Genomic DNA, 12438 nt, shown 5'->3' on the forward strand with positions numbered 1-12438 from the left:
AAAATAAAAGTAGAAGGATGGGAAAATATATACTATGCAAACACTATGTGTAAGAAAGCTGAGGTAGTCATGTTAATACCAGAGAAAGTAAACTTCCAAACAAAAAATATTATCAGGATAAAGAAAGACATTTAATAATTATAAAGAAGCCTAAAAGACATACTAATCATAAGTGTGTAGGCATGTAAACCAGTGTTTAAAAATACATGAAGTAAAAACCAATGGATTAAAAGGAGAAACAGATAAATCCACAATTATAGTCAGAAATTTCAATAGACCCCCTCTCAACAATTGATAAAACAAGTAGACAAAAAGATCATTATGGATAAAAATGAAGGGGAATAAAATACATTCAAGAGTGTAGGCTTGTCTCATAAAATAATCAGGGAAAACAGATCAGTTGAATGGAACAGTAGTAGATTTGGTTATGAGATGAAAGGCAACCCCTGGAGTTTTGCATTAGAGAGTCTACATCACTATATGTGACAACCCCATTTCCTAGTTCAGGCATGCATTAGGGCTTCTCTGCTAGTAAGTGATAAAGATATGTCCACATTTCCCAATTATTCTTGTATCTCTCTAGTTTCCTATTGGTAACTCTGGACACACACACACACACACACACACACACACACACACACACAGGTTTCCCTTTTCCTTGGGCAAACAATCATTCTCAGAGATAGTGCAGTTCCTTACCAGGAAAAGTCCTAAGTCATATTACACAGCAATTCACAGTAGTGCATTTCCCAAAGGTGGATATGATACTGGACTTCCAATCACCACCTGATGTAAGGGTAAAAGGCCTAGACAGGGCTCTGCTTGAGATCAACTATGTCCTCTGTTGTTTCTAAGAGCACTCTCCAATAAACTTCCCACAAGCAAATCTCCATTTTATTGTCTGTTTCTTGGGGACTGAACCTAAGACAGAGGAAAAGGGGAAAGATACACAAGAATGTAGTCAAAACTAGAGAGATCAAACATATCACTATTTAAAGAATTGGTAGGAAAAAGGGGACAGAAGATCTATTGAGAGAGAAAGGCCATAAAGGTAAAGAAGAAATACAACAAGAAAAGGAGAATTATAAGACTGACAGCCAACTATTCAGTAGGCATTTGAATATGAGGGTTGGGAAAGATTAAGAATGGATTTGGGAATTTTAGCACAGAGATTTGTGGCAAAAAGTCATGCCAACTTAATATCAGGATGCACTAAACTCTAGTCTATGTTAAGCATGCTGAAGTGCTTGGAAGTATACTGAAATCTGCAAGTTACTTGGAATTGCAATTTTAAAAAATAAATGGATTGATAAAGAAAATATAGTAAAATATTAATTGTCAGATATAGGTATTACATATACAGGTATTCACTGAGCAGTGCTTCCAGTTTTTCTCTATAATTAAAAATTTTATAATAAAATTTTGAGAAGTGGGGAGGATCCATTGGCTTTGACATTGGGTGGTCATTGATGACCTTTCAGGGCGGCTTTAGTGCAGTTGGGAGATGTGTGTAAGAGACAGATTGCAGTAGGTTTAAGAAGGAGTAGAATGCCAAAAAATGAAAATCGTTGACTTTTTTTCCAAGAAGCTTTACTGCTAAGGGAAGGAAATAAATAGGACTAGAGCTGAGGAGGGATGCAGAGTTGAGAGAAGTTGGGTTTGGTTGTTTATTTTCTTGTTTTCTTTGCTTTATTTCATTATGTTTTGTTTTAGATGAGAGACTTGAACATATTTATGGATTGTGCGGAAGGAGTCAGTAGAAAGGCAAATTATATATTTTTGAATTTAATTTTCTCAGGTTTCCCTAATTCTTAAATTAGAGCCATTTCTATGGATAATACACTGCCAGTGTAGGGGTAAAAAGGTAATAGATTTTCCCAACCCATCACAAGGGTCATGGTTGACACTCCTATAATCAAAAAAGGTTAGCAACAGAAAACGTAATATTTATTATATTAAACTTTGTATTACATAAGAGCCTTCAAAAGTGAAGACCCAGGGAAAACTTGTATTTTTATGCTTAGGTTTGATGAAGAATGGACAGCTGAGTAGAAACGTGATTGGACAAAAAGAACATAATGTAATGATAATAGGATGAGGTAGAAACCCAGCGGGGCCTGTTTGTAAAGAGGTTTCTAGTCCTCTCTTGTGTAGCATTCCTTCCCTCTGTGCAGCATCCTTCTCTATCATTTCTTCCCTGTACCTGTAGAGGGCAGGACACCTGTTACATGAGAGTTTTTAGGGAAGAAGGGAGAAGTCAAAGAGTAGTATTTCTAGTTTTATGGCTGGCTTTGAGGGAGAGCAGTTGTAGTTTCTATGATCTGCCTTGGGAAAGAGGAATTCTAGTTTTTATTACCTGCTTTGGGAGAGAAATGGGGGAAGGAGAGAGGAGGGCAGGAGAAGGTCTTGCTTCTGAGGCCCTTTTGATCTCTTTCAGTTCAAAGTACTCAGCATGCCAAAGCACTGTACTTTAGGGTATCATGTTCTGAGCCCCAAGATTGGTGACATTTATTATTAAGGAAAGGAAGAGAGTTAAATAGAGTAGAGAATAGCAGTTCTGGATTTAGCTCTAACAACTCTGCAGCTCTGGGTAAATATCCCTAAGTAAGGTCTGACTATGAAATCAGGACCAATAATGCCCACCTTCTAATTAATAGGAATATTAGAAATAGAACTTTACGCAAAGTCTGGTATGCTTAATTTTGAGTCTTTTAGTCTCATAGGCTTAATTTCAAGCACCAATTCCACATTATTTAGTCATGTGATTTGAGCCAAGATATTCTCTAAGCCCTGGTTTTCTCAACTGCTAAGTGGGAAAAATAATAATATCTTCTTCGGAGGGTTGTTATGAAGATTAAATAGCAAGATGCAGGTACATAACTTAATCAGCTCTGGCACATATGAAGTTCTTAGCAAACAGAGACAATTATAAAGGAGTTTTTAAAACTCAGTGTTCCCATTGTCTGACATGAAACCAGAAAAGGACTTTGTGAAGATACATGTGAATGGCTTGATAGAATACCTGGCACTGGCACATGAAGTCCCAAATTGAAAATTGCAGGTGCCCAGACATTATTCTTCTTCTCAGACATAATTAACTTGGGCTGGGTTGTAGCTTCTGCCAAGAAAAATGACTACAAGTTTCTCCCTGTCTGCTCATCCTGAAGGTGTCAACGAAAGCACTGCCTGCCCAGACTAGTACCCAGTGGCTGAGATGGGACACCCTGAAGGCAAAAGTATCCTTCTAACCTCCTTCAGCCTCATGATTCTGATGTGGATCTTTGTTTCGAAGAAGAACCGCATTCTCTGAACCATCCTCCTCCTCCTTCAGGAATGTTACAGCTGACCGGATTCCTGCAAAGTGGCGTCTACTTCACAGGCAGTTTATATGAAGCCTCCAAATCAGACATGCTTTTACTGTCATGAAGTAGAAAGAAAAGACTTTTATTCCCTAAGACTCTCAGAATATGAACTCCAGATAAGACCAAAGATAGCTCGTTGGGTGAGAATTGGAAATACAAGACTGGCATCTTCAGTATTATGTTGTTAATACTCTAGGAGCAATGAAAACCCACATGTAAAAACAAACACTCTCATTAAATAAAAGACCCTAAATTGTGGTTCTCTCTATTAGCTTCCAATGATTCTGTCCCTTCACTCCACCCCTAAACTTTGCAAAATTCTTAGAGAAAACAGGATTAGATGTATCCATTTTAATTTGACCCATCGGAGGTCAAAAAAATGTCATAAAGTATTATTGATTGTGCATTGATTGATCTGCTATCAATCATCATCTGAATGATGACAGAAATTGCATGCCCCACCTCCTGCAAAAAAAAAAAATAGTGGCTTCACAAAAGTCAGGATTTGGACTTTTTTCCCTTTATGGTAATAAAAGGGAGAAGAGACTAAGCCAGGGTGGGAGATAAGTGAAATATAATCTATAGATCTTGGCTTACAACAAGAAAGGGCCCACTGGCTTGAAAAATACTGGTCTTCCCCAGTTCCTGGGGAGATTTTACATATATTTCTTCTGATTTAGGGCAAGGTATTGGAAGGACTTTCTGAAGGAGTGGAACTGATTAACTCAAGCTCTTAACCCAGACTGATCCAGAACAAAGGATAAAGATACAAAAGAACAAGTTATGATGTTGAGTATGGAGAGGAGAGGTTTATGGTTTCATGGTCGTAATAAGTTTAGGACTTTTATTTTCAGCTAAATCCTTGAGTTTCTAGGCCAGAAGTTTACCAGCTTGCTGGTCCTCGCCAAAGGGAAGGTGATAAAACATGTTATTGGTTAACATTTTCTCCCCAATTCTGCAAAATCAGACAGCTGTTTATCTCTCTCTTCTATTTTTTATTAACTTTGTATTTTAATTAAACTTACAAAGAAGTTGCAAAGTTGCTTTATCTGTTACTGTCTCTATGTCCATAATTTTTAAATAGACTGTCTAAAGAGTTAATAGCATACAGTATACCCCTTTCCTTCTAAATACTTCTGTGTATTTTTTAACAAAAGCATTCTCTTACATAATTATAATTATCAAAATCAGGAAATTTAACATTGATATAATTTTATTTTCTAATTCAAAGTCCATAATCCAATTGTCCTGTTTGTCCCAGTGACATCCATTACACAATTTTTTCAGTCCAAATTTTTTTCAGTACATGCAAGATCATGCACTGTATTTACTTTTCATTGCATCTCTTTAGTCTTATCAGAATTGTGTTTAATGAAGGTATCAACCAATTTTCCCTCTTTTCAACTAAGAAGCTGATATACTCCAGTATATTAAAAAAAAAAAGTCTTCCAAATGAGATCTGATTTTGCCAAGCCTGGGTCTCTGTAAGTGGAGTTTGTGCTCAGTGGCTGGAGACACCCACAGCTCTCCAAGCCCAAAATTATTACCCTGTATAGTCACTCACTGAATGAATCTCTCTTTCCTTCAAGTCATCCAATAACCATTTGTCTTAATCAGTCATGGTCTGCTATAGTTACAAAAGTGCTGACCCATAAAAAACAATCTGTTCAAAAATCAGATTGTTTTCCTTTCAGATGCCATCAACACCCTTGCTATGTAAGACAACATGTCTGCTTATCGGGCCAGAAAGGAGAGATGAAGAGAACAAAGTCATGATTACAATTCCAACACCAAAATATTGAGAAATAAAGTATGTGTTCTTGAATAAAATTAAAGTTACTCCCAGCTTCCCACAATCCATGTATTCCTCATTTCTTTGTGTGTGTTTAATAGCTTAATAAACAAGTACAATACTTAATTCTTCATGAAATACTTGGAACCCCACACCTTTCCCCTTAAATAAAAATTATATTAATATGTAATGTTATATTTCCTGAGCTCTTTCCAGTAGCAAATGAATTTGTACCATAGCATTCTAGAAAATAGTTAACAAGAAATTATTAGTAGTAATAATGTATATGATATATTATTCTATATTCCTATATTTATTTCCTATAATTCTATAGGAAAACCCTTAGTTTGGGTTTTTTGGTTGTTTGCTTTCTTTTCTTCCCAGAAACCAAATGGTATACAGTTAGATCATAGAATTTCACACCTGGCAGAAACCATAAAACCTCAAATGCCCAATCTCCTCATTTACCAATAATGACCATGAAATCCAGAGAGATTAGATGAATTGCCCAAGGATACGCATTAACTAATGGGAGAGCCAAGACAAAAACATAAATGTTTTGACAGGCTACTCAGGACCCTTGCCACTGTAAGATGCTGCAGAAGACAGGTAGGGCTGATTAACGCTATGTGAAAAAACAATTTTTAAAACTTAAATTGTATTTTGGATGCACTAGGAAACACTTTAAACAAAATGAAAACCAGGACTTACTCTTTTATTCAGAGAAGATAGGCTTCCCTGATTGATTGGTTTTTATAAATTTCTATTTTCAGGTCATATATTTCTTCAAAGGTGGAATCTTAAATGTTTAGAGTAATTCATATTAAGTTCCAGGGCCTTAATAGTTCAGAAAACCTTAAAAGAGATCCCTGGGAATTTTAAGTTAACCATTGTAAATTAACCACTGCATTAGACTGCTATTTCAACTCCACTGAGTCAGACTTGGAAGTTATTTTCTGAAGGCTCTAGAGAGAGAGAACAACCCTCTGATCTACACCCAACCAGTAAACATAGTTTGGAAGACATGTGTAAGGCATCCTTAAGACAACATACACACCTACAAAGGAATGAAAACATTGTACTTGCTGAATAGGTCTGAAGAAAAATTTCAGTCTTAGAAAAAGCTATTACATAAACACAAGTTACATTATTAATACTGATCTACACTCAGCTCTGGAGCCAACTGGGCACTTACCTGAACGTTCATTTTCAGAGAGTGAACTCTGCATCAAACCTCTGAGTCTTCTATCACTGAATATTGGTGCTTTGAGTTTTCCTTGAAATCCTTAGGTCTCTCACTGTGGTTGAAACTTTGGCACCAGGGCTGTAAATAGGCCCCACCACAAGTTTATCTGGGGGATAAAATGAGAGCAAGCAGTGTGAACAAGAGGATAGATGCTGGAAAGAACACAATTTTCTAAGTCCATGCACTTGGTTGTGAAACCAAGCCAAAAAACAATCTTTTGATTTTCACCTATTTTCCCATTACCGTGTTAGGAGATGCACTGTGGGGAATTCTGAAACTAGGCAGACAGGAGTCAAGCTCCAGCACTACTACTAACTGGGTAATCCTGGAAAATTATTTAACCTTTCTCAGGCTTAGTTTTTGTGGTCAAATGGCCACAAAATATCTATCTATCCTATAGAATTGTGATAAGAAATAAGTTTCAGACTCCTAGAAAATACATAACAAATGTCGTTTCCCTGGATTCTGTAATGAGCTTTTTCTAGGTTTATCAGAGACCAGAGGGAGGAGTAAAATAGCTTGTACGATATCAAATAATGAGTTAAAAATGATAGATGGGATTGTTGCTCGGGTATTACCCTTTGTTATATACAGTCTTTGACTTTCCCTGTGTACCAAAAATGTGACTTTTCTCTCCATTCTAGAAAAATTCTCTTCAGTGATTACATCATTAGATTTCTGTTTCTGGAGGGAAAATCACAAACTCTCTGAGAAAGTGAATTCTCGCTCCATTAGCCATAGCCTCAATAGAGGATTAATGAGTTCAATCAAAATACCAAATAAGATTGATACCTGAGGAAAATATGGGGTTGGGGGAGAAAAAAATACACATCTCCTTAGTTCTCTTCACTATTGTAAAACATTTGCCACCCCTGGGTTCAAAGATCCTGGAAGTAATTTGCATACACTGAGTTTCCATAAGCATCTTGTGCTGCCCACAGGGCCCATTGGCTTGAAGCCAACTGGGAAAATCTCAAGTTACTACAAAGATTGGCAAGTACTGGGAACCTGTTAGATAGCTGAATACCTGTGATTCAGGCTTGTCTTCTCAGAATATGCAAAAGTCAAACCGCAAACAAATATAAATTTGATGTAATATTATCTGATGCTAGGTAGTATCGGTTACTAACCAGCAGTATAGAAATACATGCCTTGTCAGGAAAAGCTTTAGTGCTTGATAACTGTCTATGGAAATTTATTTTGACTAAGAAGTGTTCTTTCACATATGTGTTCCCAGAAGCAATGGGATGAATAACCTCAAGAATTTTTCTCCTAGAATCTAGGTCTCAATAGAGGGAAAGAAATACTTCTCAGAGGAAAAACTTTCAATTAACCTTGCCCAGACAACACAGTGATCTGTCAAATCACATCCCAGCCAAAGTCACTGATTAGACCTTTGAGGATGTTGAGTATTCTCTCTGCAGGATGTGGTCTGGTGACTGGAACTTAGGTCAAAGTTCGGTTCTATCTATGGCTGTGTCAACCAGCCAGTGACCTCAGGGAAATCTCTTCAGCATGCCAGTCTTCAATTTCACTTTCTACCAATTGTCATTTCAGACTGTTGGGTCAGATCTTTCCTGTCCTCACAGCTGAGATTCAGGTCAGTCTGTCACTAGCCTCTAGCATCCACCCCATCCCCTTTGCCAAGACACTCCTCCCTTGGCCTGTCCCACAACTTCAGCTAAGGTAACACCTAGTTATAAACTAAGTGTCAAACTATTGCCTGTCTGAAAGGAAGATGCCTTTGCTTGTTGGGACACACCTTTTTCAGGCACCCTGAGGCCAAGCAGCCAGGTGGAAGGATCATTGCTACTAAATTCTTGGTGGTCCAATCAACTAGACTCATGAGTAAGGCATTCTTAAAACAACATACACACCTACAGAGAGATGAATAGATTGTCCTTGTTAAATAATGTTTGAAGAAGGATTTGAGTCCTAGAGAAAGATGCTACATAAATGCAAGCTATAATATGATTAATACCGATCTACAACCAGTTCTGTAGACTCTGATTTGCTACTTAAAGATCCTCCTGCCAAACACCAAAGACACTGAGCAATATCCTGCCAGATCATTAGTTTTCTATTCAGACTAATTCTATTGATCTGGATGACATGAGGTATTAAGAAATGGTGAGTAGGAAGGAAGCATGTTTATACCATGCAGAAAAAACATCAAGAAACAAAAAGCACACATAGCAATGAAGTTAAAAATATAGCAAGAAATGAGTCCCTCCAGAAAGGTTATTTGTGGAGATGTTTACTATTCTGTTTAACAAACATTTATTGAGCACCTCTTATGTGCCCAACACTATGTTAAGCACTAAACACCAAGATAAACAAGACATGGTTCCTGCCCAGGAAGAGTTCATACTCCTGTACCATGTAATTTACACTTTGCGAAGTATGAGAATCACCTGACTACCTGATAAAACTGGAGAATCCCATCACTACCCAACAACATGCCCATTGGATTAAGGGTCCATCAGTGAGGCTTGGGAATATTTATGGTTAGCAGGTGTCTCTAATGATTTGATGATTAGCCAGGTTCAGGGAAACACTGGTCTAGTGAGACACTTAAGCATCTAGTGAATATAAGAACAATTTTCTTTTTTATTGTAAATGACAATAATTTATGCAATTTCTCAGCAAAGTCAAGATCAGTCATCCAATCTCCTATATACAGTGAATGAATGAATGGCTGAAAGCCCATCTTAGTCATATATTCTCTTTGGTCCCCAGTACTTAAGACTATACAAAGAACAGAATCAATAAATAATTGTTAAATAAACACAAAGAGAGAGAGAGACATTGTCCTTCAAATTATTCCATTAAAAATAGTTCCTATCTAGTTCAGAACCACAATTTTTAAGTAACATACTTTGATTTCTTTTCTGTAACAAACCTTTTCAATATTTCAATCATATTCTTTTCTTGGGTTTAAATCTTTTTGGAAAAAAATGTGGGACATAAATCAATCAATAAATAAACAAACAAAAACTCTTGATACTTTCTACCGTCACCACTTCCCATGAGAAGTTTTACTTAAAAATTTTTTTAAAGGTGGGTGTTGTGTTTGCCTTATACAGGTAGTAAACAAGGCTTCTCTACCTAGAAGACCAAATAAGAAATGTAGTTATTTCTATTCATTTTTGTCCCTTAAGCTCTGAGCCTTGATTCCTTCCAGAATTAAGCAGATATCATTGCCAGTAAATTTTTAAAGATATTTTCTGATGACTTCTTATTTCCTTCAAATGTCATAATTATATTACAAGGAAATTGTAAGGAAAGCATCCAAACTTTGTTCAGGAGAAACATTGATAATCTGGCACTGTTAATGGTACAATTCAAGAAACATACTTTGTTTACATAGAACATGGGGGAAGGGAAGAGATGTTAAAAGTGCACAAGAGGTCTTTAGTGACTTTACATTTGAAATCATTGCAAAATTCAAAAAGCAAGTCCTATATTGAGCCCTGGTTAGTTGAATTCATTATAAACATATAAGGCAAAAATAAAGCTCTGTAACTGTTCTTAGTCAGTATCTACTCTTGAATTTATTGCTGAAGTGACCCATCAATTATTCCTGAGAAATAGGGTCAGTACCATCATTTCATCTTTCTTGAGGCAATTAAGGAGCAGCCTTTTCAAGAGCCAAGAGAGATAGCTGTCTCATGAGTTTCATTTTTTTTCAAGTCCCTTGTTGCTATAATTTTAGGAAAAAAAATGTGTTTAAGGTCACTTACGTTCATGGCAAAACAAGAGCATGTGTCAAGGCAATGAGTGAGCTGCCCCACTGTGAGCAACTGTTCCACCCAACTCAGCTTCTGCACTTGGTGATGCTCATCATCCGGGATTCCACAGAAATGAAATTTAACTGAATCTGAGTCAAATGAGAAATAGAACTCTTGGATCCCTTTAAGCATTTTTGCTTGGAGCACCCACCAACTAAAGCATTTTGCTCACTTGGATCAGCAAGGTTGCTGGCTTACTGATTTCACAATGTTCCTCCTCAGAAACTAAATTTGTTTTTGGATATAGTCCAGAACCATGTCTCAGGAGACCAGCTAGCTGCCAGTGCAGAATCAAAAAGCTTATACGTATTGTAAAAACAAGAAATCAGTATATTTGCGTATTATCTGTTTGTTTGTGTGGGTTTTTTTGTACAAGAATTAGAGAAACTGAAGAATGACCTGCAGACTAGAGAGAGCTTTGGAGACTCCTGAAGTTTGGCAGTAAGGCTTCTTATTATCAAACGATGACCATGTTAGTGGCACGCCCAAGTTTAACCCCACTCCTTGCCTGTACAAACTGACTGAATAAATCAGCCTTAGCTAATAAGGCTTCTGACTGCCATTAGCTCCAATATAGAAAGAGAATATAAATTTTAGGGACCCATGGCCCTTTGGAGAAAGGACTGCCTAACAAAAGAAAATACGTTAAAATATACTAAAGTCAGAATGTGAGAATTTGAAAATAATAGCATATTCTTCATCTGAACTTTTCCCTGAATATTTTATTATCTCTATTATGGATCTACTTGATATTTTGTAAATATAGGAATGTTGCTGTTTGAGGTTTTCTATGAAAAGTCTTTTAAAAGTGTTACCATTTATCCATTTCACAGCACTCCTTAGTTATGTCTCATCCTTACCGATGGTACTATTAATGATAAATATTACCGATCAAAACCAAACATCTCTTTGTGAACATACCATATTTCATGTTTCAATGCCAAACTCTGGTGATATACCTGCTTAGAACTGAGGCTCGTGTTGGTGTCACATCCTAGTCAATGCCAAGCATCAACTCCCAACAGTCCTCTATTTCTGTTCCCCAGATGCTTTCCTCGTGTCGATTCTTACTGTGCACACTTGTCTTTGGTGACTTCATCTGTACTCACTTCACCTTAGTATGTGTGATGATTTATAATTCTATTCTCTGCCCAGACCATAATACCAATTGCCCACTACTAGGCTCTCTCTGCTGAATAAGCTACAAGCTCCCAAATCCTCCACCCCCTATATTTCCAAACCTTGTTATATGGCTATGCCTCTCTAACTTAGATGTCATTCTCTCACTTCTCACTATAACCACCTTACCAGCCTCACCACCATCTGCATCCCATCAGAACCAAGGTCTCATAAACTCCTTACCTTAAATACCTTTCAAATTTTATCTCTGTCCTTTTGCCTTTGCTGCCACTATTCTCTTCTAGACATTCCTCACTCTTGCCCAGATGACTGCAATATCCTCCTATTATTCCTTATCTCTACTTTGGTCTTAATCAGTTCTCCCATCCCCACCACATTGCTGCCAGTTTTCCTCCTGAAAGGAAAATCTGATCATGTTACTCTCTTCATTAAAACCCATGATTCAATCTCCTACAGCCTTTTCAGACTTGTCTCCTACTACTCACTGCCCTAAATCATATGTTCCAGTCATACGAAACTGCTTGTTATCTCAGCATGTACAACGCTGTTTCATGTCCATCTCAGCATATACAGTGCTGTTTCATGTCTTTGCCTTCAAACAAGCTTAAATGCCCTTTCTTCTTGATTGTGAACTCCTCTTCTATGTCAGATCAGACTCCTCCTCTGAGGTTAAAGACATAGAATCACATCCTCTCTCTGAACACTTCCCTCTGGTCAGATAACATTGAACATTCCTTCCTTAGTATTCCACTATACTAATCACATTCAGAATAGATTCCCACATTATTCAATAAATTCAGTCAATAAAACTTTGTTTACTATCTGCCAGGCACAGACTGAGTGCTGGAGAAAAAATGGCAAGCAAAATACACAGTATATGTGCCCTTGAGAAGCTTAGATTCCAGTGGGGAAGATAGATAATTAAACATGTTACAGTGTGATGGTGCTGCCTTGCTTGTTTGCCTTTCTGTCTGAATTATCATGTACTTTTCTCACTAGATTGAAAGTATTTTGAAGGCAGGGCTGTGACTCATGCACTTTTGTATTCCTAGAAGCTCACACTAGGCCAGCGGTATAGTAAGCACTCAAAGATTTAATAAGTAAATG

At 37.1% G+C, this 12438-nt stretch overlaps 1 long non-coding RNA gene across 1 annotated transcript; it reads right to left on the minus strand.

The window, feature by feature from the left end:
* Positions 1–567: 567 nt before the first annotated feature.
* LOC105378965 (uncharacterized) lies at positions 568–10244 on the minus strand. Its single transcript, XR_001742511.1, has 4 exons — positions 10144–10244; positions 6350–6506; positions 3250–3417; positions 568–921 (listed from the first exon to the last, which is right to left on the minus strand). It is a non-coding gene; the product is annotated as an uncharacterized LOC105378965 (long non-coding RNA).
* Positions 10245–12438: the final 2194 nt, after the last annotated feature.

This window comes from Homo sapiens, chromosome 5 (assembly GCF_000001405.40).
Source record: "Homo sapiens chromosome 5, GRCh38.p14 Primary Assembly".
NCBI classification, from domain to species: Eukaryota; Metazoa; Chordata; class Mammalia; order Primates; family Hominidae; genus Homo; species Homo sapiens.